General features: G+C 47.2%; 1 protein-coding gene and 1 long non-coding RNA gene across 5 annotated transcripts in view, besides 6 other annotated features; one reads left to right on the top strand and one right to left on the bottom strand.

Moving 5' to 3' along the window:
- The window catches only part of DGAT2 (diacylglycerol O-acyltransferase 2), a 32,757-nt gene extending 27,020 nt beyond the window's left edge, over positions 1 to 5,737 (bottom strand). For 2 of the 4 annotated variants that reach the window (NM_032564.5, NM_001253891.2), the window contains exon 1: positions 5,403 to 5,737. In NM_032564.5, coding sequence (NP_115953.2) covers positions 5,403 to 5,523 — 121 coding nt within the window. In that variant the 5' untranslated portion in view covers positions 5,524 to 5,737. Of the gene's footprint in view, positions 1 to 697; positions 2,474 to 3,392; positions 3,478 to 5,402 lie in introns of those variants that run through there. The other 2 variants (XM_011545304.3, XM_047427716.1) reach the window with 2 other exon arrangements.
- Positions 660 to 889: an enhancer, noted in NCBI's record as "active region_5277". NCBI's record gives its function as "activates an Ori minimal core promoter by ATAC-STARR-seq in GM12878 lymphoblastoid cells {active_cell/tissue: GM12878}" and the evidence as "EXISTENCE:reporter gene assay evidence [ECO:0000049][PMID:35858748]".
- Positions 1,030 to 1,179: an enhancer, noted in NCBI's record as "active region_5276". NCBI's record gives its function as "activates an Ori minimal core promoter by ATAC-STARR-seq in GM12878 lymphoblastoid cells {active_cell/tissue: GM12878}" and the evidence as "EXISTENCE:reporter gene assay evidence [ECO:0000049][PMID:35858748]".
- Positions 5,418 to 5,657: a silencer, noted in NCBI's record as "silent region_3775". NCBI's record gives its function as "represses an Ori minimal core promoter by ATAC-STARR-seq in GM12878 lymphoblastoid cells {active_cell/tissue: GM12878}" and the evidence as "EXISTENCE:reporter gene assay evidence [ECO:0000049][PMID:35858748]".
- Positions 5,738 to 5,847: a silencer, noted in NCBI's record as "silent region_3774". NCBI's record gives its function as "represses an Ori minimal core promoter by ATAC-STARR-seq in GM12878 lymphoblastoid cells {active_cell/tissue: GM12878}" and the evidence as "EXISTENCE:reporter gene assay evidence [ECO:0000049][PMID:35858748]".
- On the top strand, positions 5,868 to 16,060 carry DGAT2-DT (DGAT2 divergent transcript). Its single transcript, NR_046090.1, has 4 exons — positions 5,868 to 6,021; positions 9,522 to 10,272; positions 11,971 to 12,380; positions 15,872 to 16,060. It is a non-coding gene; the product is annotated as a DGAT2 divergent transcript (long non-coding RNA).
- Positions 5,934 to 6,434: an enhancer, noted in NCBI's record as "H3K27ac hESC enhancer chr11:75479126-75479626 (GRCh37/hg19 assembly coordinates)". NCBI's record gives its function as "activates a minimal SCP1, AML or CMV promoter by ChIP-STARR-seq in naive H9 embryonic stem cells {active_cell/tissue: H9 hESC(naive)}" and the evidence as "EXISTENCE:reporter gene assay evidence [ECO:0000049][PMID:30033119]".
- Positions 7,741 to 7,960: an enhancer, noted in NCBI's record as "active region_5275". NCBI's record gives its function as "activates an Ori minimal core promoter by ATAC-STARR-seq in GM12878 lymphoblastoid cells {active_cell/tissue: GM12878}" and the evidence as "EXISTENCE:reporter gene assay evidence [ECO:0000049][PMID:35858748]".
- Positions 16,061 to 24,738: the final 8,678 nt, after the last annotated feature.

Here is a 24,738-nt window from a genome sequence, read left to right as displayed (position 1 = left end):
TACCCAAGGTCACATGGGAAGCAGAGGCAGGGCTTAGAATGGCTAATTCTGCTCTAATAAGAAAAGGAGTTTGTGTTTCCCATTTCTATTGATTTACCCAAAAGGTTCACAGGGTGTAGCCTGTCTGCATCTGCACCATAATCTGCACAGGTTCTTATGACACTTTTGCTCATTTCATAGATGAGGAGACTGAGGGTAAGGAAGGGTAGTGGCTTGCTGAGGCTGCGGAGCAGTTCGGTGGCCAAGCAGGAGCTGGACAGAGCCCAGGCCTGACTCCTACCCCTGGGCCCTGCCCATGAGGCCCTCAAATCAGCCAGCAGCTCCATACCAGGAGGCCCTCAAAGTGCTGGAGGCCAATAAACTAACTGCACCAGGCTCCTTTCCCATGAGCTCTCAAGTCTTCCTCCTGCTGCAGACACAGGTGAGCCACCACAGGCCTGGATCCAGCATCCTCTCTGTCTCTCTTGTCTCTGGCTCTCAGTACACCAAGACCTCAGCCTCAGTTGGTCACTCAGAGGCCCTGCAGTCAGTCTGCCTCTCCCATCCAAATCTCATGCCTCTATTTATGCTATTTCCTGTACCTGAATGTTCTTGCCTGTCTTGCTGATGTCTATTCATCTTTCCAGATCCGGACTGAATGTCACCTCTTCCAGGAAGACTTCCCTGACCTCAGGGTGATCAAGCTCCCCGGTCTCACCTCTTGGCAGTCTTTCCTGTCATTGCTCAGATCACTCTGCACAGTCATCTTGTGTACATCCCCCTGGTCTCACTTCCTCAAACGCAGGGACTGCAGCTGACACACAGAAGGTGCTCAATCAATAAAATGAAGGGTCCACACCCCAAGTCCCTTCCTCAGTGAAGCCTTCCTGGATGCCCTAGAGCAGGGTCTGCCACTCTCTACAGTGTTGGGGGCCTGCTGAATGTGTAACACAGGACAAATGACAAGGACTAACATGAATGTCACAAGTTCACAAACACTCACACTCAGGTTAACTCAAACCCTCCATCCTTGAGAATCTGAGAATTCTGACCCTATTTTCCAGATAGAAGGAGTGAGATCCCCAGAGAGGAAGTGAAGCCCCCAGCCACATCCCAGAAAAATGTCAGGCCTGGAACCCCAGCTCTCGGGCTTCTAATAAGCCCTGGGAAGCAGTAAGGGTGACCATTGAGACTGGCTCTGCCCACTTGCCACTCAGCCTTGGAGCCAGCTCCTTGCCAGACTGTGGGTACCTCCAGGGCAGGGAACAGCTACAACCCCAGCACCCAGTCCCTAGCACAGGTGGTTACAGGGACAGAGGAGGCCCAAGGAAGGCTCGAGGAATCACACTGAAGCTAAAAGCAGGGCTTCCTCCAAGAGGAATGGGGCAGTCCCACTAATGATTCCTTCGTTTAACAGATACTTACTAAGTACCTATTACCAGTGCCAGGCACTGTGCTAGATGTCACAGCACTGAGAAAGACAGACAAGGTTCCTGTTTCCAAGGGACTCATATTCTTTTTCTGTTTGTTCTTTTTGTTTTGTTTTGAGATGGAGTCTCGCTCTGTTACCCACGCTGGAGTGCAGTAGCACAACCTTGGCTCACTGTAACCTCCTCCTCCTGGGTTCAAGCGACTATCCTGCCTCAGCCTCCCAAGTAGCTGGGATTACAGGCACACACCACCACACCTGGCTAAATTTTTTTATTTTTAGTAGAGACAGGGGTTTTACCATGTCAGCCAGGCTGGTCTCGAACTCCTGACCTCAAGTGATCCTCCCACTTTGGCCTCCCAAAGTGCTGGGATTACAGGCGAAAGCCATGGCACGCGGCCGGCAAAGGGACTGATATTCTTACTGGGGAGACAATTGCTTAAACAGATAAGCACGCATGAAAATTTAGGTAGTGATAAAGGCTATAAAAATAAAAGAAGATGTGGTGATTGGAAGTGGCTCTCTAGATTGGAAGTGGCTCTCTAGATAGGGTGGCCAGGGAAGACCTCTGAGAGGAGATTGACTGTTGTAAAGCCAGCCATGCGAAGACCTGGGCAGACAGGCAGCATATGCAAAGGCGCTGAGGTAAGACTGAATTGGGAGTAATGCTGCAGGAACAGGAAGACCACCATGCGTCTGCAGCATGGTGGGTGACATACTAGGAGAGGAAGTCGTGATGGCAGTGGAGGCTGTTCACCTGGGGCTTACTTCATAGGCCAGGAGGAAGAGTTTGGAAAGTCTGAAGTGTGACTGAGTGTGGGTAGGGGGCAACTGGCATTCACCTGGCAGCCAAAGCTCTGGGGGATCTTAGTGCTCTAATCCACTAGGGCAGGCTTGGGGAGCTTCCTCAAAAAGTTTGAGAAGGGATGAGCTGCCACCCGCACCATGGAGACAACCTTCACTCATTCAGCAAACCACTGAGCACCTACAATGCACAGAGCCCTGCACTCAGCCCTTCACGGCCTTGCAACCCTTCTCTTGGCTTAAGGAGTCAGGCCACAGACTGGGAGATGGATCTGAGTTCTAGCCTGGCTTTGATAACCCTGGGAAAGTCCCTTCTTTCTGGAGACTCCAGTGATCCCATCTGTAACATGAGGGTTGGGCCCGATCCAGCACTAATTTTTACAACTCAAGTACTTGCTGTTGAATTTGAGGGCAGGAGGGTGGAGGTGGGGCAGGATTTCAACACTGACCATTGAGTCACTGAGCCTGTTAATACAACATTACTCTTGGCCCTCCTTTCTCAGCCTAGATGAGCCCTTGGTGACGCAGCCCCAAAGTGGCCTCTATTCAGCTGGGGAAGTGATGTAGGTGAGGGGGGAAGCCACACGGAATTGGAGAGGGAAGCATGAGAGTAATGTTCTCATTCTGACTTAGGACTAGGTTAGGTGACTGTCAACCCTCAGTTCCCAGTTACCCCCAACAATCTAGCCACTTAGTTTCAAGCAGATCCACAGTGATGTGGAACTCCATCCTCACCCACCCCAGCCTGTTGCAGTCCTCAACAGCTGTCAGAAAGGACTCCTCTGCTACATCAAAACTTGCACCCATCATCCCACTCCTATTCCTGGCCTCACTCTTTGGAGCCGCACACAACAAATCAGCTCAAAATTTTACTGGGACCACCAACATCTCATGCTAGGTCCTGTGCTGAACCCTGAGGACACAGGCAGGTGTCAGAGGGCTCTTCTGAACGAAGAGCCCCCAATCCAAAGGCAAGGATAAAGAATAGGATATATATCCCTCCTGTCCTGATGAACTCTGCAAACTCCACGTCTGGCACAGGACAGCCCTCCAAGGATTAGGAAATATCAACACAGACTCCCGCTTCCCCCAGCATGCACCCACCTACCCATACTCCCACAGCTGGCCTTTTTTTTTGGCCAAGAAACCAGATGCCAAGGTATCTATTTCAATCTCTCACCCGTCACAGGACTTCCCTTCACAGAATCCATGGTCTCTACTTGAATACTGTCACTGACGGGCTGTTCACCAGCTCACAACAGTGGGACCTTACCCACAGAGGCAAACTAGGCCACTGGGGAGTATCTTCAAGGACCAAGGATCTAGAAGGCAGGTCTAATGGAGATGCCCAGATAACAAAATGTGCTTCAGTGCCCTCCCCTACTCCACCCAATCTTTCACCAAAGTAGATCCCAGAAAGCTGAACTGACTGGTTTGCATTTCATACCAGCCCTTCCTACATTCCATGATGTAAATCCTTGCACCCAGTTTAAAAAAAAAAAAGTTTTCAAGATCTGATAACAACATGGGGAAATGTTCCTGACATGATATTAAGTGGCTTGGTTAAAACCATTCGCTAGAGTACAAGTTCTCCTAAGGAACAAACTCTAAGTCAAAAACATGACAGCCAGGGTCACTGCCTCCTGGAAGACACAGCTCCCAGCCTGTGGATGGCAGAGCCGACGGAATGGGGTCTCCAGGAAGCACTACCACAGAGAACATCCCTATCCCACTGCCCAGTGCAAAAACATTTTTAACAGCATGAACAAGGGCAAGTCCATTCATCCATTGATGTCCCTAAGGACATCAAAGGACACAGGGAACAGAAAAGGACTCAAGTGAGAGAAGGGGCTGTCAGAGGCTACTGGCTGGATACATGGGGCAGCTCAAGCTGCTCGCCCCCGAGACAGGGCAGCAGCTGGGTTCCTCTTCAAGGGCTACGAGCAGCACCCACACCAAGAGGGGCAGATAACCACAGCGATAATCACACAAGAAGCAATGCCAATGCCTAGGTCACAGTTAAAGTGTGGTACAGCTGCAGGGTGGGTTATTGCAACCACTAGGACATTGTAAGTGATTCTGATTAACAGAAGGGAAACCTCGATGTTACATTAAGGGGGAGAAAACAAGATTCATAACTATATCTACAGCATGTCCTCAATTGTATCTATGCAATGTGTATAAAGAAAATGATCAAGAGATATACTAAAATGCTAATAGGAAGGTATCTTTGGATAGTCGATTTACCAGAAATTTTTTTCATTTGTCTATATTTTCAAAAATTCCATAATTAGCAAGCTTTATTTTTGTAACAAAGGTGGGCGGTGTAGGCGACCGTTAGTTACTAAAGAAAAATCCATGTCAGAGAGGCTCAGCAAACAGAATACAGACTTAGAAAGAGGGAGAGGGGCTTCATGCAAGACACACACGCAGACCAGGACAGCTGTGATGACTTCCCAGGGTCTACCGGATTTGTACTTGAATCCAGGGGTCAAGGCATCAGCTAAGGAAAACTTAGGCATGCTTCCTCCCACTTCAGTTTCTCCAGCTCTAGGTAAGGGAGGTGGGGGTTGGAAGAGTTGCTATTCCTCGCTTGGGAAAAGCTGCGGGGGGTGCGGGGCGGGGGTTGATTTCAACTCTGCGCGATTCACTGAGGACCTCAGTTCTACCTTGGAGGACATGCAGGGTCCTCTCCGCTGCCTTCTAAGCATGCCAGGCTCAAGAGTTGCTGCTATGTGGGCTCCAGAGCCTGGGCGAGAGGATGGATGTGGGACAGAGGACAGGGCAGACACACCTGTTCCAGTCGGGCATGTTCCCCGTCTGGTGGCTGTCTCAGGAGACGGCAAAACCCATACCATCCTGCCCATCCAGTCTATCACTGCCAAAGCTCGCTCTACCTGGTGAAGGGAGAGGGGAGGGAAGTGCCAGGGGTCACCAGCCGCAGTGGGGGCTGGGGAGGAGTTCTCGAATATCCCTAATAACTAAGAATGGTGGGTGGTACCGCTCCCACCTCACGGATGAGGGAAACAAGCTGGGGGGCGGGTGGAAAGCGATGTAACAGAGGTCGTAAAAATTGATGAGTGCCACAGTGGAGAATGAACGTGGACTCATCAGTACCCACCAGCCTGCCACAGGGCCCTTTCCAGAAAATCTTCTCGCAGGTCCATAACCCCTGCGCCGTGGCACTCACCCCATCTCCCAGACCCCTCGCGCGACAGCGCAGGTCCTCCGTGAGAGCGCTGGCTCCGGTCAGCCTCGGCCTGACGCTCGCCGCGCAGGACCCCGGAGTAGGCGGCTATGAGGGTCTTCATGGCTGAAGCCCGCCCAGTCACGGCCCCGCGGGAAGCCGCTTCACCCCGCGCCCCTGGCCCATGCCCCGGCCCCCGGGGCCAGGGCTTCGCGCAGAGCACAGGGGTCCCGGGACGGCGTCGAGGCTGGGCGGCTAGGACACCTGGAGCTGCGGCCGGCGGCCAGTGGTGGCGCGAGAGAAACAGCCTAGACCCCAGCAGAGGCGGCAGCCGCGGCGCTGGCGTCCCGGAGCGCAACACTTTATCACCTCACAACGGGGCAGGCGCCGACGCGGCGGGCGGGGCGGGCCGTTCTAAGCCGCCGCCCGCGCCACTTGCTTGTGGGGGAACCGCACCTGAGGCTCTGCTTGGCGCGGGCCCGGGGCTGGCCAGCAGCCTGCTCCGCGCGGATCCGGGGAATGCGTGAGAGGAGAGCAGCTCTGAGCCCTGCTTCCAAGGGGCGCGCCCGGTTATTCCCCTCGCTCCCTCAGTCCGACCCCGGGCGCTCCCCCGCGGAGATTGGTACGGCCCGGCGGCCAGTACCCGGGCGGGGAAAACCAAGCACGTGCGGTGCAGGCAGAGGGCGTGCAGGGGGTCGGGCCTTTACTCTTTAGGAGGGGCTGTCTTTTGGCAGCAAAGATGCGAAGGTCCCGCTTTTGGTCACTGGTATCAGGATTAGTTAGGTTAGGGCTGGGTATCTCAACCACCCAAACTGCTTCTGGCTTTCCATCTCTTTATTAAGAAACCTCACAGAGCACCTATACCCTGCTGGGTGCTGGGGACCCAGCCAGATCAGCCCAGGTTCTGCCCTTGGGATGCTCACGCTGGGGGGCAGCAGAGACAGCCGCACACAGTCACTGGTGACAACGGCCGGGACAAGCGAGAAACCAGGGGGCTATGGAACCACAGAGTAGAGAAGACTCTGCCCTGGGCTGGGGGAGTGGGGGCGCTGGTGCACTTCCCAGAGAGGTTGGTGCACAGCAGGTTTGGAATCAGATAGACTAGGAGTCCAGTTCTTGCCCTGCCTCTCTTGAGCCTCAGTTTCCATATCTGTAAAATGGGAATAATAATTATTATTTTTGTGAGGTACTTTGAGAAGTAAATGAGATAAGGTATAAAAAGAGCCTAGGTAGTGTCTGGCACATAGAAAGCATTCCAGAATGGTTTGCCCATTAATGAATAGGAATTTTGCAGATGGAAGGTGTGAGGGCAAAGCAGAAAGATAGGCATAAAGTGTTAGAAAAGCCAGCATGTTTGGGGCAGGGCTGGGGGCCCTGGAGTGGCTGGAGCCCAGGCAACTGTGGAAAATGAGGCTGAAGTGAGAGGCGCGGGTGCTTGAACTGAGAGAGGTTTGGGAGTGCCACTCTTGAGATATTGGGGGGGAGCCGGGTCTTGGGAGAGCTTTAGTAGGGAAATGGCTGGTCAGGTGGGTTTTAAGTGTCCTTAGCCATGGTATGGGAAATGGACAGGAGAGGCTGTAGGTCAGGAGGGCAGTGGGGAGGCTGTAGGGGCGGGGGATCCATGTGAGAGAGGATGAGCCTCAAGGCACGGCAGTGGTAGAGGGAATGGAGGGAAGGCCTGATCTAGGGAAGAGCATAGGAAGCGAGATCCACCAGCATGTGGTGGAGCGACTTGTTGGATGGAGGCTCAGGGAACGAGTGGGGACAACAAGCATGTCAGTGATAAGACAGATTTCTTAGGCATAGCTGGAGCGAGATAGCTGTGGGGTCACAGCATAAGAGGAGAGGAATTCCCTGCCTTTGTGGTCTTTATCATGTTCTCACAGGGGGAGAGGAGAATGACAGAAGTTACAGGCACAGGGCAGCAGGTAATAGATGCCTCTGGTGCAACCTAGAGATGCTTCCATTTGTTCAGCCCTCTCAAGGCCACAGGAGTAAATCTCTCAACCGTGTTACTGGGCCCCAAGGCCCGAATTGGCCAAGAGTAGAAAGAAAAGCATTCCAGGCAGAGCTCCCAGCATGTGGTGAGGCCATGAGGCTGGAAAGATCTTAGTGCCTTTTAGGAAACTGAGGGTAGGCTAGTGGCATGCCACATGTGGGGGATGGGGGGAGACATGGGGACTGGTAAGTGCAAAGGCTGGGAGGTAGAAACAGGTGTGGTTTGTTTTTGGGCAAAGAGGAGTGAAGCCAGGAGGATACTGAAGGTGCCAGTAAATCCTGGCATCCTCTCCTCAGAGAGGGTGCTCTTGGAGGCAAGACTCCTGCTGGCCTGGAAGATCCCAGGTCAGTCTGTGGCTCGTGCCTGCTCCAGAAGGGTCTCCTGTGGAGGAGGCCTGGGCTGGAACTCATGGCCCACCCACTCACCCTGGGCAAGTCAGTATCGCTATCTTGTCTAGGTTTCCTTTTCTGCATTATGAAATGGAGGTGACAGTTTCTGTTTTGCTGACTTCACTTGAGTATTTGAGGATGAAGTGAAATCACAGCATGTAAAAGAGTGTTATCACTGTGCTGTAATGTAAGAGATCATTGTCTTAAATGGCAAGATTTGGGGTTACCAAGGCCTATTTGAAACATTCAGATCCCAAGTTCATCTACTTCAGCACATTTTTGCTATGCACCTTCTCTGGGCCCGGCCTTGGTTAGGACACAGAGAGTAATCGGACTTAGTCCTTGGCTTTGAGGAGACCCAATCGAGAGATGGTGTCCTAAAGCCAATGATCCCAAGACAGCCAGCCTGTGGCACAGGGTAACATGGAAGGCTATGCCAAGTTTGGCCTTTCCCCCTGTGCTGTCACTGTCTGCCTGCCTCTCCACGGAGCCAGGCGTTTCCCAAGGGCAGGAACCTCATCACTCTATGTCCCAGTGTGGGCCTAGCTCGGCATAGACGCTTAGTCCAAGGTGGATTGCCCCCTGAAAAAGTATAGTAGAGTCATAGAGGAAGTAGAGGGAATGGTAAATTGGGAAGGTCAAGAAGAAGTGATATTGCTGCAGACCTAAGATGAGAAGTCTGATTCTGTGAGGCAGGGGGAAAGGGGAAAGGTGTCAGGCAGAGGGTACAGCATGGACAAAGGCCTGGAGGTAGGAACCCTGTGAGCACCCTGGTGTGGCTGAAAGAAAGATACAGGCAGAAGAGGGGTAGGAAATGAGGCTGGAGAGGTTGACAGGGCCCAGATCTGAACGGCCTCGTGGGTCCTGCCAGGAAGCTTGGACTTCATCCTGTGGGGGGATGGACCAAAGGAGGGGTGTGAGCAGAGATGCACCTTGATTGGATTGGTGGGTTAGAAAGATAAACTGGGGCCCAGCGCGGTGGCTTACGCCTGTAATCCCAGCACTTCGGGAGGCCGAGGCGGGTGGATCACGAGGTCAGTAGATCGAGACCATCCTGGCTAACACGGTGAAACCTCCTCTCTGCTAAAAATACAAAAATTAGCCAGGCGTGTTGGCAGGTGCCTGTAGTCCCAGCTACTCGGGAGGCTGAGGCAAGAGAATGGCGTGAACCCAGGAGATGGAGCTTGCAGTGAGCCGAGATTGTGCCACTGCACTCCAGCCTGGTAGCCTGGGCGAGAGAGCAAGACTCAAAAAAAAAAAAAAAAAAGGAAGATAAGCTGGGTTGTTGGGGTGGAGGTGGGTGCTTGGGGAATAGGGCCATAAAATCTGGTCCCCAGCTTGGGCCCTTCCTGTGTGGGAACATCTGTGAGAGGACGCAGAGGTGAGTCCAAGGGCTGAGAGGCACAATTGCTTACTTCTGTGCCACCTCACAGAGCAAGCAGCCCCTGGCATCCCAACTTCTAGAACACTCCTTCCCCTTGGCCTCCAGCCGCCATGCCCATGGGTACTGCTTAAACAGCTTGGTCCAAATTGGATTTGGAAGGAAAACCAGACCCAAACTTAGAGTAGCCTGGAAAGGAAGTTTCATGGCAGCTTCCTGTGTCCTGGGACTGTTTTCCCCTGTGTGAGTTTGGGCAAGGGGGACTTACACCAGACTCTGACTTCTCCTGGCCCCCTCCCATGCTTCTTGACATTCCTAGCCTCCTATAATGACCAGCCCTGACCTTCCTGCAGGTGTGTGAGCAGAACAGCTTGAGAATGTGTTCTAGGACCTGGTTACCTTTCCTTCATCATCTCTCAACCCATGTGTATATTGGGAAAATCAGAGACCGGTCAAGTCATGCCTCCAAGAAGGGCTTGACCAGGGTGGGCTTTGTGGTCCCACCAAGAAGCTTGGACTTCATCCTGTTGGGGGATGGACCAAAGGAGGGGTGTGAGCAGAGAGGCATCCACAAGGATGGCTCATCCTCCACCCACTTCAATCACCAGTGTTGTACAGCCATTGGGGATTACACGTGCAGCTTTGTAGCTTGTGAGAGGTTTGACGCATGCACCTCTGAGATATGCTTCAGTGATAGCAGTCTTAGCTCCTCCATTGCACACATGAGGAGGGTAAGTGGCCAGCCTATAAGGCAGAGAGGACACTTGCCCTAAGAGAGGCACAGGTAGAAAGACAGAAACAAACGTGTATCAAGCTCCCTGCTCTGTGCTAGGCCCTGGCTTGTGTGAGCTTGCCCAGTCCTCACAGCCACCACACAAGGGGTGATCACCCCCACCGCTTTGCACATGGGGTGCAGGGAAGTAAAGTGACTTGTCCTGGATCACACAAGGAGTAAGTAGTAAAGCTGAGATTCACACCAAGTCTTCCAGAGCCTCAAACCTGTACGCTTTTCCTGCCTCCCAAGGCTGGGAGAGGGAGCACCTGTAACAGCAGAACTACTGGACGAAAGCAAATTCCCATCCATCGCCTCCACAGCCCTGGGAGGTTAGTCCCATTTTGCAGTTGGCAAAATGAAAGCTCAGGGAATCCAATAGCTTACCAGATGGGGTTGGGATGTAACCAGTTCTCATGCCACAAGGCTAGGGCCCATTGGGGTTAAACTCCTTTCAGTGCTCAACTCACTTGGAGAGTGGGCGGGCAGGGTTCTGGCAAGCAGAGGCAGCCTGGCATGGCCCTCTAGCCTGGAAACTCACCCGCCTCCTTACTCACAGGAATTTGCCAGCCAGAGCAGCTGTGTGGCATGGCTGCACTCCTCTTGGAAGTCTTTGCCTCCCACGTCCAAGCCCCCTACTCTCCCTCTTCCTGGTGGCTTCCCCACATGCTGCTGCTGCTTTGTGGTCAGGGGCCTGATGGTATATAGTCTTGGGTGGCAGGCTACAGAGTCTGGACTTTATTCTCAGGGCAATGGGGAGCCATAGAGGTTTTTAGCAGGAGTTTTATGCTTTAGAAAGATCATTGTCCAGGCAAGAACATCTTTAACTGTCATCTCCATGGCACCCTTCCTAACTACCTCTACCTTATATTAGTCAGTGTCCCTATGGGAAACAGCCCACCCAAACTGGGTAATTTGAGGACAGTTTAATACAAAGACTGTTTGCAAAGATGTAAGCAGGCTATAGAGAAAACTCAAGGGATGGTGCAGTAGCCCAGGACTAGTCACCTCACAGGGGATCTGGCCTGAAGGACTAAGAGAAGGACACTGCAGGTGCAATGGGGGCTGAGCGGAGAGGGCTGCCACATGGAAGCTGTGGCCTTTGCTGAAGGGGCACAGACAACCCACAGGGACCTGGGTGATATTGGATGGAAGGGAGGGAGGCAGATGAGAGGAAGGAGAGAGATAATGACGACAGAGCCTGAACTGAAGGGGTGGCAAGGCAAAAGAGAAGCGAGGGTGATTTTGAGAGATGCTGAAGCTTTAGAGTCTCTAGGATTTGATGGCATGGATGTAGGGCTGAAAGGAAGGAAGGGGGTGATTGAAGATGGCTCCGGGTTTCAAACCAGAACCCAAGAGCACAGACCTCCCAGCTCTAAGGTCAGGCCTTAGCAGAGCTTGGTAATGGCCTTTGGCCCTATCTTGTGTGACAGGTCTGGATGACAGTAGAGGAATAGGGCAGGACTGAGACCCTTGGGAGCAGCCCCAGGCTTGTTTTAGAAAGTTCTGTTGCAATGTGTACAGACAGCTCCCCTTGCATCATTCTGCCTGCTTATTTCTTACTCAACTCTCTCAAGGCCTCTTCCCTGCAGGAATTGGGGGGTGGGGTGAGGGTGGGGGAGGGGATATTACACAGAGAGCTCCCAGTACATTCATTTCTCATCTGCCCTTCTATCTGGCCGACCTTTCCTGAGACCCCCCATCCTTGTGCTGGGTGCTGTGGGTACAGTTCTTGCTCCTTAGGGGCATTCTGGGGGAAGAAACAGACACCTAAAATGACAATTATTATTCAGCAGTAGTTTCTAGCTTTTTAAAAGCAGTGAAACCATTTCTTTTTTTCTTTTTTCTTTTTTTTTTTTTTGAGACGGAGTCTCGTTCTGTCGCCCAGGCTGGAGTGCAGTGGCACAATCTCGGCTCACTACAAGCTCCACCTCCCGGGTTCACGCCATTCTCCTGCCTCAGCCTCCCAAGTAGCTGGGACTACAGGCGCCCGCCACCACATCCAGCTAATTTTTTTTTTGTATTTTTAGAGACGAGGTTTTGCCATGTTAGCCAAGATGGTCTCAAGCTCCTGACCTCGTGATCCGCCCATCTCAACCTCCCAAAGCGCTGGGATTACAGGCGTGAGCCACCGCGCCCAGCTGAAATCATTTCTTCAAATACAACCTTGAGAGCCCAAGAAGTGACAGGGATGACAGGCTGCTGGGGTGGTCCCACAGTTCCTCAGGGTTTGTCTCTCACTTGCCCAGCCCACACACCCTATCTCCAGGGCTCTGTGGAACACAGTTTGAAACTCCTGCTGCACAGAATAGCAAGTGCAGGGCCAGGGGATGCACTGAAGACGGGCATTCAGGTGGATGCCCCCTGCACACTGTGGAAAGGCACCCTGGTGGGCTGGCACCTGGTCAGACCCATCTTCCTGAGCAAGGGCACTGGACAGGTTTGTTGGTGGATCATTTTTATATGAATACATATGCCTAGACAAGGCCCTTCTCCTGGTCCATCCACCCAGACCCTGACTTGGCCCCAGACTGAATAAGCCCCCACCTTGCCACATGTTAATGTTGCTTACTGTGTTTGAGCCTCAGTTTCCCTGTGCTCCATCCAAATGGGAATAGGTATCTTCCTCCTAGGGTTGTTGTAAAGACTAAAATAATAAATGTAAAGTGCCATATGGGCACAATGGCTCATGCCTGTAATCTCAGTACTTTGGGATGCTGAGGCATGAGGATCATTTGAGCCCAGGAGTTGAAGACCAGCCTGGGCAACACAGACAGACCCCATCTCTACCCAAAAAAAAAAAATTACCTAGGCATGGTGGCATGTGTCTGTAGTCCCAGCTACGTAGGAGGCCAAGGTAGGGGGAGGGGAGGATTGCTTGAGTCCAGGAGTTAGAGGCCGCAGTGAGCTATGATCGTGTCACTGCGCTGCAGCCTGGGCAGCAGAGAGACACCCTGTCTCTAAGTGAATGAATGAATGAATGTAAAATGCCCAGGACAGGGCCTGGCATATAGTACTTGACAAATTGTTACCAGTAGAAGTATTATGATTGAAAATAAGGATTAGGGTGACAGGTTTGCCTGGAGCTCTGACACCTTCTCCAAAGGGCTTTGAACAAACATAAAGGGAGGGAGAAGAGTAAAATGCCTGAGAAGGCAGTGGAACTGGAGGATACTAGAAATGACAAAGAACCAGGCATCTTAGCATAGGAGATGACCACAATTCACAAAGGAAAATGCAGTATGAGCAAGGGTCCTGGAAGGAGCAGAGGCTCAGTAATAGTAGCCTTAGTCAGAGGAAACTGGAAATGTTGCACGCTTGACTCAGCATGTCTTTCCTAAGCAAAGGTCCCTGTGGCAGCCCCTGGGCTGCCCAGTGCAGAGATGTGTAAGACCCAACACTGCTCTCAGGTAACCTGTAATCCAGGGAGGATTGAGCACTTTTGAGCATGGACAACAGTAATACAGGGAGGAAGTTAGAGCTGTTAGTAAAAGAGGGTTCTGGGGGAATCAGGAACACTTTGTGGAGAAGGAGTGGGCAATGAACTGCGCCATATCTACCTAAATAAACCACTGTGCTATAATATGCTGTGGCAGTTTTCAAACATTAGCAGAGGGCTGGTTAAAATATAGCTTTCTGGGTTCCACCCCCAGAGTTTCTGATTCAGTAGGTTCTGGAGTGAGGCTGAGAATGTGCATTTCTAACAAGTTCCCAGGACATGCTGATACTGCTAGTTTGAAGCCCACATTTTGAGAACCGCTGCTGAACTGTTTTGCAGTGAGACTACAGTGGAGCATGGGACTGCTCTGCTGTATTAAATTGTTCCAACTGCATCTCAGAGAACCTGCAGATTACAGAATCTGTAATCTCTAGGAAATGCTGTTCAGCTGGAGAAGCGTTGGGAGACTGGAGGTGGGCTAGTGCCATCCTGATTTTTCCAAAAGGAGAAGCAACAGTTTTCATGAACTATAACAGGCAATATAACAGGTGTTAAACTTCAGTGAGTATTTACTGTCTGCCAGTTACTATTCTAGGTTCCTTACATGGGTGGATTTAGTTAAGCCTCACAACAACCCTTTGGAGTAGATACTATATGAGTCCATTTTTCAGATGGAGAAATTGAGACACAAAGAGGTTAAAAAAAATTGCCCAAGGTCACACAGCTTAGGAAGTGGCAGAGCCAGGATTTAAGCTGAGATGGTCTGGCTCCAGAGACCATGCTCTATAATAGCTGCAAAATCCTGGCCATATTCTGAGGTCAGTTGTATAAACTGCATTCTATAAATGATGCTCTGTAACCCTCAAGAGAAAAAACAAACAAACAAAAAAACAAAACCCTGAGTTGTCAGGAGCTACGATTGAGTCACCGAGGAGGGGTGGTATCCATATATCAGTTTTCTTTTCAATGGCCTCTCTAGATTCCCAAACTGGCCTAGGACTAGGTCTATGGTATCAGCAGAGTCCTGAGCAGGGAGGTGATCAGCAGGCCAGTGTGGGCTCTGCTAGGGAGGAGGAGCTGCCTCAGGTAGGAGTTCATTCTAGAGTGGTTTCCTGGTCACTCCAGGCTCCACCTCAGCCCGGCCTTATGGATTTTTTTTTTTTTTTAAGTAAGTGACCTGAACAAGGATGCTGACATGAGGCATACAGGAAACACAAAGAAAGGCGGAAAAGCAAATATTTTGGGTGAGATAACTGGGATTAAAACACCCTGAAAGCCTGTAGATGAATGTGAATTTGCAGGATGGTGTTGATGAGGAAGAACTATAAAGTCAGGCTTTAACTGAATGTCTCTCAGCCTCTTTCTTTGGTAACTTTGGCCTCCCCCAGGCTGCTGGGTATGCTGGGTCATGAAACTGAATAGGGTTGGGTTTTTTTTTTTTTTTAGGCTGACTCTCTGAGAAAGATTACTTGTGCTCATGGACACATACAAAAACATTCACACTGATACCTCTATGCCCAACAACCAGGAAACAGTTCTCTCCTTCTCTCTTCTGCCTTGGGCCATGCCACCTTGCATAGACAGCTGTACTATCCTCTTCACTGGTCCCCTGTCTCCAGATTCCCAGAATGAGCTTCAGAACACAGAACCCAACCATTGTTTCTCGTGGCTCCCCATAGTTCTTAGGATGAGGCCCCAGCTCCTTAACTTGGCATTCAAGGCCTCACATCATCCTGCTCCTGCCACTCTCTCCAGCCGCCTCCACTCCTCTCCCACCGCCATGCTCTAATGTGGGTCCAGCTCCCTAGGCCCATCAGGTCACTTGCCCTGCCCCTGAACGTGCTTTTCCACCTCTGGGTCCCTGCCCACACTGTGCTCTTGAGCTCAAGCCCTTCCCCAAGCTCCCCCTTTTTCACACCCTGTCCATCTGTCCTGTCTTGATGCATCTTCCTCCAAGAAGCCTTCTTTACAACCACACATACCCCTTTTTAAAACTTTCACTTAAACTTTAACACTTCTGCTGCTTGCTGCACAAAAACAAACAAACAAACAAACAAAAACTTTAACACTGGTGTTTGGGCTGGAAATTTGGGAGTAGAGTCCTTCCCTGCTAGAAGTTCACAGCATGGAGAAGCCACATTTTGGGGAAGCAAACAGTTTGTTTTATATATATATACATATATTTGAGATGGAGTCTTGCTCTGTCGCCCAGGCTGGAGTGCAGTGGTGTAGTCTCGATTTACTGCAACCTCTGCCTCCTGGGTTCAAGTGATTCTCGTGTCTCAGCCTCCCGAGTAGCTGGGACACCTGGCATTTTTTTTTTTTCTGTATTTTTAGTACAGATTGGGTTTCACCATGTTGGCCAAGCTGGTCTCGAACTCTTGACCTCAAGTTATCTGCCCACCTTGGCCTCCCAGAATGCTGGGATTACAGGTGTGAGCCACCTCCAGTAATGTATCTGTCTACATTCCTCCCTCTCCACCTGACTGTAGGCAGGGACAAAGCTGATTCTGAGCAGATCTGGCACAAGGAAGTCACCAGAAAACACTATTGGGTTCCTCAAGGGTAAAGACTGGATCTTATCCATCTTGTTGCCCATTCCTGCCTCTGCAATCATGTGCACTCTGGGAACTTGGAAAATACATTGTGGCATCCAGTATTAAATCTCATGGTACCTAGAATGACTGTTGTCATTCATTCATCCATTTATTCATTCACTCATTCATTTAACACAGTTATTATATACATGCTCTTTGCCTTGCAAGACCTGTGTAGGTATTAGAGATACAACGGTGAGAAGAAAACAGACCCAGTCCCTGGCTTCCTGGAGCTTCTGAAGTTCAAGGTCAAACTAAGAGGAGGGAGTAATCCGCATTGGAGTTGGGAAGAGACCAGAGACTGATAGCAATTTAGCCTTGACCTTGTTCATAACAGTATACCTGCATCTTGTTATTTAACCTCTACAGCAATCTTGGAGGTGTGAGTTCACAACATTAAAATATAAATGAGTAAACTGAGGCTTAGAGAAGTGGTAGCTAGTTAGAGGAAGAGCAGGGACTTGAATCTTGGTTATTTCGATATCAAAGCCCTTGCTTGTTCTTATTCTATTTACCTGGGCCTGAATGGAAGAAGGGGTGGAGTGGTGGGGTGATGAGGAGAGAGAGAGAGATAGAGAGAGAGCCCTGTGTCAGATGCTGTCCAACGTGGCTTGGACAGAAAAGAAAAGCCTAAATGTGGGAGTTTTCCAACACTGCCATTGGGCAATCTCCAGAATTAAGTCCATGGCCACCATTTCTTGTGTACCTGATGTTGAGAAACAGACTCAGACCTGAGATAAACTTGAGATTTTGAACCCTATCAGTTAGCACAGTGTGGCCTCTGCCAGGCTAACCCCATCCACTTAGGGCTGAAGGCTTGATCCCCACAGCAGTTTGAACACTGTGTAGCCCTTCCCTTCATGGCTGCCCCAAGCGTCACAATTAGACCAGGTACAGATGTGGAAGAAACGACTTGGCTGTTTCTGAGGGCCTCCGTTAGGACATTTCATAAGATATCAAATACATTAGCATAAAGTTGTTCATAATAGTCACTGGTTATTCTTATAATATCTGTAGGAGCTTTAGTGATATCTCCTTTTCATTCCTGATATTGGTAATTTGTGTCTTTACTTTTTTCTTGACCCATCTGACTAGAGATTTATCCATTTTATTTATTTCATTAAAACCCTTTGGTTTCAGTGATTTTCTCTATGTATGTTTTCAATTTCATTTACTTCTGCTTTTATCTTTATACTTTCCATTTGCTTTGGCTATATTTTGCCCTTTTTCTTAAGTTTAGATTATTGATTCAAATCCTTTTTTATTATTTTTATTTTTTCTCTTTCTTTCTTTCTTTCTTTCTTTCTTTCTTTCTTTCTTTCTTTCTTTCTTTCTTTCTTTCTTTCTTTTTTTGAGAGGGAGTCTCGCTCTGTCTGCCCATGCTGGAGTGCAGTGGTGCAATCTTGGCTCACTGCAACCTCTGCCTCCCGGGTTCAAGCAGTTCTCCTGCCTCAGCCTCCCAAGTAGCTGGGATTACAGGCATGTGCCACCAAACCCAGCTAATTTTTTTGTATTTTTAGTAGAGACGGGGTTTCGCCCTGTTGGCCAGGCTTGTCTCAGTCTCCTGACCTCAGAGGATCTGCCCGCCTCGGCAGTGCTAGTATTACAGGTGTGAGCCACCACACCAGACCTTTGTTTTCTTTTATAGTTCCCAGCACTCTTTATCTCTTTGTGTAAATCTGAATTTCCATCTGGTATTACACCTAAAGAATTTTCTTTAACATTTCTGGTTGTGTGGGTCAGCTGGCAATTAATTCTCTTAAGCTTTGTCTTAAAAGTCTTTATTTTATCTTCATTTTGGAATGACATTTTCCCTGGGAATAGAAATCTGAGATGACAGCTTTTTCCCTTTAGTGAAGATGTCACTCCATTGTGTTCTGCCTTGCAAAAATTCTTGACAAGAATCTGCAGTAAATATTATCTTTGTTCTTTTGTATGTAATATTTCATTTTTTCTCTGGTTATCTTTAATATTTACTCCTGATTTTGTTGTTTGGTGGTTTTTATATCTAGGTGGGTGTATATTTTGTATTTATCCTGCTTGGGGCTCTCTGGAATTCTTGGATCTGTGATTTGTTGTCTTTTATTAAATTTGGAAAATTCTCGGCCATCATCTCTTTGAACTTTCTCTCTTTTTTCTTCTCTCTTTTTCCTTCTAGAACTCCAATTAGACACATATTTAGACTGATATTGTTGTACAGGTCTTAGATGCTCTGTTTCCTGCCATGCCCCCCCAACTCATACATACTCTTTTCTTTTTGCTTTTTTTTAAATTTATTCTAAAAACAAAAAATGGGATACACGTGCAGAATGTGCACGTTTGTTACATGGGTACATGTGTGCCATGGTGGTTTGCTGCACCTATTGACCTGTCCTCTAACTTCCCTCCCCTCATCCCCAACCCCTAACAGGCCCTGGTGTGCGTTGTTCCCCTCCCTGTGTCCAACACACACACTTTTTTATCTCTGTGTTGCTGAGCACATCAAAGGACGACTTGATCTTTGATATGTTGTTTTTTTATTTCTAGCACTTCATTTGACTCATTTTTTAAAATATAGTTTTCATCTCTCTGCTAAAATTCTCCATCTGTTCATTCAGGTTGTCTGTCTTTTCCACTGAATCCTTTCACTTACTAATCATAGTTATTTTAAAACCTCTGTCTTACACTTCTAACATCTTTTTTTTTTTGAGACGGAGTTTTGCTCTTGTTACCCAAGCTGGAGGGCAATGGCGCGATCTCGGCTCACTGCAACCTCCACCTCGTGGGTTCAAGCTTTTCTCCTGCCTCAGCCTCCCAAGTAGCTGGGATTACAGGCACACGCCACCATACCCAGCTAATTTTGTATTTTTAGTAGAGTCGGGGTTTCACCATGTTGTTCAGGCTGGTCTCGAACTCATGACCTCAGGTGATCCACCAAAGTGCTAGGATTACAGGCATGAGCCACTGCGCCCGGCCCCAACATCTTATGGTTTCACTTTTTCTTTCAGTCTGGTTCTTCTGTGTGTTTTATTTCTTGATAATGGATATTTTTGTGTGTGTGAGTATCACCTGTTTTTTGATGGAATTTCAAATATCATGTATATTGATATTTGTGGTTTTTGAGCTGATCTAGTCAGAGTTGAGCTAGGTTTGGGTTTTGCTGTTGCCATGTTTGCAAATTTTTCTAGTGGTTGACACCTGCTAACTTGTGCTGAGGGGAGAGACTGGAATGTCAGAGGATTCTTCTCAATGTTTCTTTCTTTCTTTTTTTTGTAACAGCTTTATTGAGATTTAATGCATATACCACACAATTCACCAATTTAAAGTACACAATTCAATGGATTTTAGTATGTTTACAGAGTTGTGCAACTGTCACCACAATCAATTTTAAAACATTTCATCATCTCAAAAAAGCAAAACAAAAACACACCAAAAACTCTGTAGTTGCCAAGGCCTGGAAAGAAGGGAGAATAGGTATGAGGTTTATGGTTGGGATTAAAAAAAATTCTGGAATGAGATGGTATTATTTGTGCAACATTGTAAATGTAATTAATGCCACTGAATTATACACTTTGAAATGGTTAAACTGAATCATGAAATGTGATCTTTTCTTTCTGATTTCTCTCTTAGCATGTTTTCAAGCTTCATCCTTGTTGTACCCTGTATCAGTACTTCATTAATTTTTTTTTTTTTTTTTGAGACGGAGTCTCGCTCTGTTGCCCAGGCTGGAGTGCAGTGGCACAAACTCGGCTCACTGCAAGCTCTGCCTCCTGGGTTCATGCCATTCTCCTGCCTCAGCCTCCCGAGTAGCTGGGACTACAGGTGCCCGCCACCATGCCCGGCTAATTTTTTTGTATTTTTAGTAGAGACGGGGTTTCACTGTGTTAGCCAGGATGGTCTCCATCTCTTTTTTTTTTTTTTTTAAATTATACTTTAAGTTTTAGGGTACATGTGCACATTGTGCAGGTTAGTTACATATGTATACATGTGCCATACTGGTGCACTGCACCCACTAACTCGTCATCTAGCATTAGGTATATCTCCCAATGCTACCCCTCCCCCCTCCCCCCACCACCCCACCACAGTCCCCAGAGTGTGATATTCCCCTTCCTGTGTCCATGTGATCTCATTGTTCAGTTCCCACCTATGAGTGAGAATATGCAGTGTTTGGTTTTTTGTTCTTGCGATAGTTTACTGAGAATGATGATTTCCAATTTCATCCATGTCCCTACAAAGGACATGAACTCATCATTTTTTATGGCTGCATAGTATTCCATGGTGTATATGTGCCACATTTTCTTAATCCAGTCTATCATTGTTGGACATTTGGGTTGGTTCCAAGTCTTTGCTATTGTGAATAATGCCGCAATAAACATACATGTGCATGTGTCTTTATAGCAGCATGATTTATAGTCCTTTGGGTATATACCCAGTAATGGGATGGCTGGGTCAAATGGTATTTCTACTTCTAGATCCCTGAGGAATCGCCACACTGTCTTCCACAATGGTTGAACTAGTTTACAGTCCCACCAACAGTGTAAAAGTGTTCCTATTTCTCCACATCCTCTCCAGCACCTGTTGTTTCCTGACTTTTTAATGATTGCCATTCTAACTGGTGTGAGATGGTATCTCATTGTGGTTTTGATTTGCATTTCTCTGATGGCCAGTGATGATGAGCATTTTTTCATGTGTTTTTTGGCTGCATAAATGTCTTCTTTTGAGAAGTGTCTGTTCATGTCCTTCGCCCACTTTTTGATGGGGTTGTTTGGTTTTTTCTTGTAAATTTGTTTGAGTTCATTGTAGATTCTGGATATTAGCCCTTTGTCAGATGAGTAGGTTGCGAAAATTTTCTCCCATTTTGTAGGTTGCCTGTTCACTCTGATGGTAGTTTCTTTTGCTGTGCAGAAGCTCTTTAGTTTAATTAGATCCCATTTGTCAATTTTGTCTTTTGTTGCCATTGCTTTTGGTGTTTTAGACAGGAAGTCCTTGCCCATGCCTATGTCCTGAATGGTAATGCCTAGGTTTTCTTCTAGGGTTTTTATAGTTTTAGGTCTAACGTTTAAGTCTTTAATCCATCTTGAATTGATTTTTGTATATGGTGTAAGGAAAGGATCCAGTTTCAGCTTTCTACATATGGCTAGCCAGTTTTCCCAGCACCATTTATTAAATAGGGAATCCTTTCCCCATTGCTTGTTTTTCTCAGGTTTGTCAAAGTCAGATAGTTGTAGATATGCGGCGTTATTTCTGAGGGCTCTGTTCTATTCCATTGATCTATATCTCTGTTTTGGTACCGGTAACATGCTGTTTTGGTTACTGTAGCCTTGTAGTATAGTTTGAAGTCAGGTAGTGTGATGCCTCCAGCTTTGTTCTTTTGGCTTAGGACTGACTTGGCGATGCGGGGTCTTTTTTGGTTCCATATGAACTTTAAAGTAGTTTTTTCCAATTCTGTGAAGAAAGTCATTGGTAGCTTGATGGGGATGGCATTGAATCTGTAAATTACCTTGGGCAGTATGGCCATTTTCATGATATTGATTCTTCCTACCCATGAGCATGGAATGTTCTTCCATTTGTTTGTATCCTCTTTTATTTCCTTGAGCAGTGGTTTGTAGTTCTCCTTGAAGAGGTCCTTCACATCCCTTGTAAGTTGGAATCCTAGGTATTTTATTCTCTTTGAAGCAATTGTGAATGGGAGTTCACTCATGATTTGGCTCTCTGTTTGTCTGTTATTGTTGTATAAGAATGCTTGTGATTTTTGTACATTGATTTTGTATCCTGAGATTTTGCTGAAGTTGCTTATCAGCTTAAGGAGATTTGGGGCTGAGACGATGGGGTTTTCTAGATATACAATCATGTCGTCTGCAAACAGGGACAATTTAACTTCCTCTTTTCCTACTTGAATACCCTTTATTTCCTTCTCCTGCCTAATTGCCCTGGCCAGAACTTCCAACACTATGTTGAATAGGAGTGGTGAGAGAGGGCATCCCTGTCTTGTGCCAGTTTTAAAAGGGAATGCTTCCAGTTTTTGCCCATTCAGTATGATATTGGCTGTGGGTTTGTCATAGATAGCTCTTATTATTTTGAAATACGTCCCATCAATACCTAATTTATTGAGAGTTTTTAGCATGAAGGGTTGTTGAATTTTGTCAAAGGCTTTTTCTGCATCTATTGAGATAATCATGTGGTTTTTGTCCTTGGCTCTGTTTATATGCTGGATTACATTTATTGATTTGCGTATATTGAACCAGCCTTGCATCCCAGGGATGAAGCCCACTTGATCATGGTGGATAAGCTTTTTGATGTGCTGCTGGATTCGTTTTGCCAGTATTTTATTGGGGATTTTTGCATCAATATTCATCAAGGATATTGGTCTAAAATTCTCTTTTTTGGTTGTGTCTCTGCCCGGCTTTGGTATCAGAATGATGCTGGCCTCATAAAATGAGTTAGGGAGGATTCCCTCTTTTTCTATTGATTGGAATAGTTTCAGAAGGAATGGTACCAGTTCCTCCTTGTACCTCTGATAGAATTCGGCTGTGAATCCATCTGGTCCTGGACTCTTTTTGGTTGGTAAACTATTGATTATCGCCACAATTTCAGCTCCTGTTATTGGTCTATTCAGAGATTCAACTTCTTCCTGGTTTAGTCTTGGGAGATTGTATGTGTCGAGGAATTTATCCATTTCTTCTAGATTTTCTAGTTTATTTGCGTAGAGGTGTTTGTAGTATTCTCTGATGGTAGTTTGTATTTCTGTGGGATCGGTGGTGATATCCCCTTTATCATTTTTTATTGTGTCTATTTGATTCTTCTCTCTTTTTTTCTTTATTAGTCTTGCTAGCGGTCTATCTATTTTGTTGATCCTTTCAAAAAACTAGCTCCTGGATTCATTAATTTTTTGAAGGGTTTTTTGTGTCTCTATTTCCTTCAGTTCTGCTCTGATTTTAGTTATTTCTTGCCTTCTGCTAGCTTTTGAATGTGTTTGCTCTTGCTTTTCTAGTTCTTTTAATTGTGATGTTAGGGTGTCAATTTTGGATCTTTCCTGCTTTCTCTTGTGGGCATTTAGTGCTATAAATTTCCCTCTACACACTGCTTTGAATGCATCCCAGAGATTCTGGTATGTTGTGTCTTTGTTCTCGTTGGTTTCAAAGAACATCTTTATTTCTGCCTTCATTTCGTTATGTACCCAGTAGTCATTCAGGAGCAGGTTGTTCAGTTTCCATGTAGTTGAGCGGTTTTGAGTGAGATTCTTAATCCTGAGTTCTAGTTTGATTGCACTGTGGTCTGAGAGATAGTTTGTTATAATGTCTGTTCTTTTACATTTGCTGAGGAGAGCTTTACTTCCAAGTATGTGGTCAATTTTGGAATAGGTGTGGTGTGGTGCTGAAAAAAATGTATATTCTGTTGATTTGGGATGGAGAGTTCTGTAGATGTCAATTAGGTCCGCTTGGTGCAGAGCTGAGTTCAATTCCTGCGTATCCTTGTTGACTTTCTGTCTCGTTGATCTGTCTAATGTTGACAGTGGGGTGTTAAAGTCTCCCATTATTAATGTGTGGGAGTCTAAGTCTCTTTGTAGGTCACTCAGGACTTGCTTTATGAATCTGGGTGCTCCTGTATTGGGTGCATATATATTTAGGATAGTTAGCTCTTCATGTTGAATTGATCCCTTTACCATTATGTAATGGCCTTCTTTGTCTCTTTTGATCTTTGTTGGTTTAAAGTCTGTTTTATCAGAGACTAGGATTGCAACCCCTGCCTTTTTTTGTTTTCCATTTGCTTGGTAGATCTTCCTCCATCCTTTTATTTTGAGCCTATGTGTGTCTCTGCACGTGAGATGGGTTTCCTGAATACAGCACACTGATGGGTCTTGACTCTTTATCCAATTTGCCAGTCTGTGCCTTTTAATTGGAGCATTAAGTCCATTTACATTTAAAGTTAATATTGTTATGTGTGAATTTGATCCTGTCATTATGATGTTAGCTGGTGATTTTGCTCGTTAGTTGATGCAGTTTCTTCCTATTCTCGATGGTCTTTACATTTGGGCATGATTTTGCAGCGGCTGGTACCGGTTGTTGCTTTCCATGTTTAGCACTTCCTTCAGAAGCTCTTTTAGGGCAGGCCTGGTGGTGACAAAATCTCTCAGCATTTGCTTGTCTGTAAAGTATTTTATTTCTCCTTCACTTATGAAGCTTAGTTTGGCTGGATATGAAATTCTGGGTTGAAAATTCTTTTCTTTAAGAATGTTGAACATTGGCCCCCACTCTCTTCTGGCTTGTAGGGTTTCTGCCGAGAGATCCACTGTTAGTCTGATGGGCTTCCCTTTGAGGGTAACCCGACCTTTCTCTCTGGCTGCCCTTAACATTTTTTCCTTCATTTCAACTTTGGTGAATCTGACAATTATGTGTCTTGGAGTTGCTCTTCTCAAGGAGTATCTTTGTGGCGTTCTCTGTATTTCCTGAATCTGAACGTTGGCCTGCCTTGCTAGATTGGGGAAGTTCTCCTGGATAATATCCTGCAGAGTGTTTTCCAACTTGGTTCCATTCTCCCCATCACTTTCAGGTACACCAATGAGACGTAGATTTGGTCTTTTCACATAGTCCCATACTTCTTGGAGGCTTTGCTCATTTCTTTTTATTCTTTTTTCTCTAAACTTCCCTTCTCGCTTCATTTCATTCATTTCATCTTCCATTGCTGATACCCTTTCTTCCAGTTGATCGCATCGGCTCCTGAGGCTTCTGCATTCTTCACGTAGTTCTCGAGCCTTGGTTTTCAGCTCCATCAGCTCCTTTAAG

The sequence above is a fragment of the Homo sapiens genome, chromosome 11 (assembly GCF_000001405.40).
Source record: "Homo sapiens chromosome 11, GRCh38.p14 Primary Assembly".
NCBI lineage: Eukaryota > Metazoa > Chordata > Mammalia > Primates > Hominidae > Homo > Homo sapiens.
The sequence above is the reverse complement of the archived record's forward strand: the minus strand, read 5'-3'. Positions and strand labels throughout refer to the sequence as shown.